Below are 2,202 nucleotides of genomic sequence, written 5' to 3'. Positions count from 1 at the left end.
CCAAGTTGGAAAACACTCTTCAGGATATTGTCCAGGAGAACTTCCCCAACCTAGCAAGACAGGCCAACATTCAAACTCAAAAATTACAGAGAACACCATAAAGATAATGCTCAAGAAGTGCAACCCCAAGACACATAATTGTCAGATTCACCAAGGTAGAAATGAAGGAAAAAATGTTAAGGGCAGCCAAAGAGAAAGGTCAGGTTACCCACAAAGGAAAGCCCATCAGACTAACAGTGGATCTCTCTGCAGAAACCCTACAAAACAGAAGAGAGTGGGGGGCAATATTAAACATGCTTAAAGAGAAGAATTTTCAATCCAGAATTTCATATCTGGCCAAACTAAGCTTCATAAATGAAGGAGAAATAAAATCCTTTACACACAAGCAAATGCGGAGAGATTTTGTCAGCACCAGGCCTGTCTTCAAGATCCTCTGAAGGAAGCATTAATACGGAAAGGAAAAGATGGTACCAGCTACTGCAAAAGCATACCAAAGTGTAAAGACCATCGACACTATGAAGAAACTGCACCAACTAACTGGCAAAATAACCAGCTAGCATCATAATGATGGGATCAAATTCACATATAACAATATTAACCTTAAATGTAAATAGGATAAATGCCCCAATTAAAAGACAGAGACTGGCAAATTGGATAAAGAGTCAAGACACATCAATGTGCTATATTTAGGAGAGCCATTTTATGTGCAAAAACACACATAGGCTCAAGATAAAGGGATGGAGGAATATTTACCAACCACATGGAAAGCAAAAAAAGCAGAGGTTGCAATCCTAGTCTCTGAAAAAACAGACTTTCAGCCAATAAATATGAAAAGAGACAAAGAAGGGCACTACATAATGGTAAAGGGATCAAGACAACAAGAAGAGCTAACTATTCTAAACATATATGCACCCAATATAGGAGCACCCAGATTCATAAAGCAAGTTCTTAGAGACCTACAAAGAGACCTTGACTCTCACACAATAATAGTGGGAGACTTTAACACCTCACTGACAATATTAGAGAGATCAATGAGACAGAGAATTAACAAGGATATTCAGGACTTGAACTCAGCTCTAGACCAAGCAGACCTAATAGACATCCACAGAACTCTACACTCCAAATCAACAGAATATACATTCTTCTCACCAACACATTACACTTATTCTAAAATTGACCACATAATTGGAAGTAAAACACTCCTCAGCTACAGTAACCAAAACAGCACGGTACTGGTACCAAAACAGAGATACAGACCAATGGAACAGAACAGAGCCCTCAGAAATAATGCTGCATATCTACAACTATCTGATCTTTGACAAACCTGACAAAAACAAGAAATGGGGAAAGGATTCCCTATTTAATAAATGGTGCTGGGAAAACTGGATAGCCATATGTAGAAAGCTGAAACTGGATCCCTTCCTTACATCTTATACAAAAATTAATTCAAGATGGATTAAAGATTTAAATGTTAGACCTAAAACCATAAAAACCCTAGAAGAAAACATAGGCAATATGATTCAGGACATAGGCATGGAACCAAAACACCAAAAGCAATGTCTAAAACACCAAAAGCAATGGCAACAAAAGCCAAAATTGACAAACGGGATCTAATTAAACTAAAGAGCTTCTGCACAGCAAAAGAAACTACCATCAGAGTGAACAGGCAACCTACAGAATGGGAGAAAAGTTTTGCAAACTACTCATCTGACAAAGGGCTAATATCCAGAATCCACAATGAACTCAAACACATTTACAAGAAAAAAACAAACAACCCCATCAAAAAGTGGGCAAAGGATATGAACAGACACTTCTCAAAAGAAGACATTTATGCAACCAAAAGACACATGAAAAAATGCTCATCATCACTGGCCATCAGAGAAATGCAAATCAAAACCACAATGAGATACCATCTCACACCAGTTAGAATGGCGATCATTCAAAAGTCAGGAAACAACAGGTGCTGGAGAGGATGTGGAGAAATAGGAACTCTTTTACACTGTTGGTGGGACCGTAAACTAGTTCAACCATTGTGGAAGTCAGTGTGGCGATTCCTCAAGGATCTAGAACTAGAAATACCATTTGACCCAGCCATCCCATTACTGGGTATATACCCAAAGGATTATAAAATGTGATGCTATAAAGACACATGCACACATATGTTTATTGTGGCACTATTCACAATAGCAAAGACTTGCAACC

At 38.2% G+C, this 2,202-nt stretch overlaps 1 annotated feature.

Moving 5' to 3' along the window:
• Positions 913 to 1,128: a silencer, noted in NCBI's record as "fragment chr5:96669582-96669797 (GRCh37/hg19 assembly coordinates)". NCBI's record gives its function as "represses an EF-1alpha promoter that drives an FKBP-Casp9 reporter gene in an ReSE screen in phorbol 12-myristate 13-acetate-treated (for megakaryocytic differentiation) K562 erythroleukemia cells {active_cell/tissue: K562(+PMA)}" and the evidence as "EXISTENCE:reporter gene assay evidence [ECO:0000049][PMID:32094911]".

Source organism: Homo sapiens, chromosome 5 (genome assembly GCF_000001405.40).
Source record: "Homo sapiens chromosome 5, GRCh38.p14 Primary Assembly".
Lineage (NCBI taxonomy): Eukaryota > Metazoa > Chordata > Mammalia > Primates > Hominidae > Homo > Homo sapiens.
Note: the sequence above shows the minus strand (reverse complement) of the source record. Positions and strands in the feature narration are given on the sequence as shown.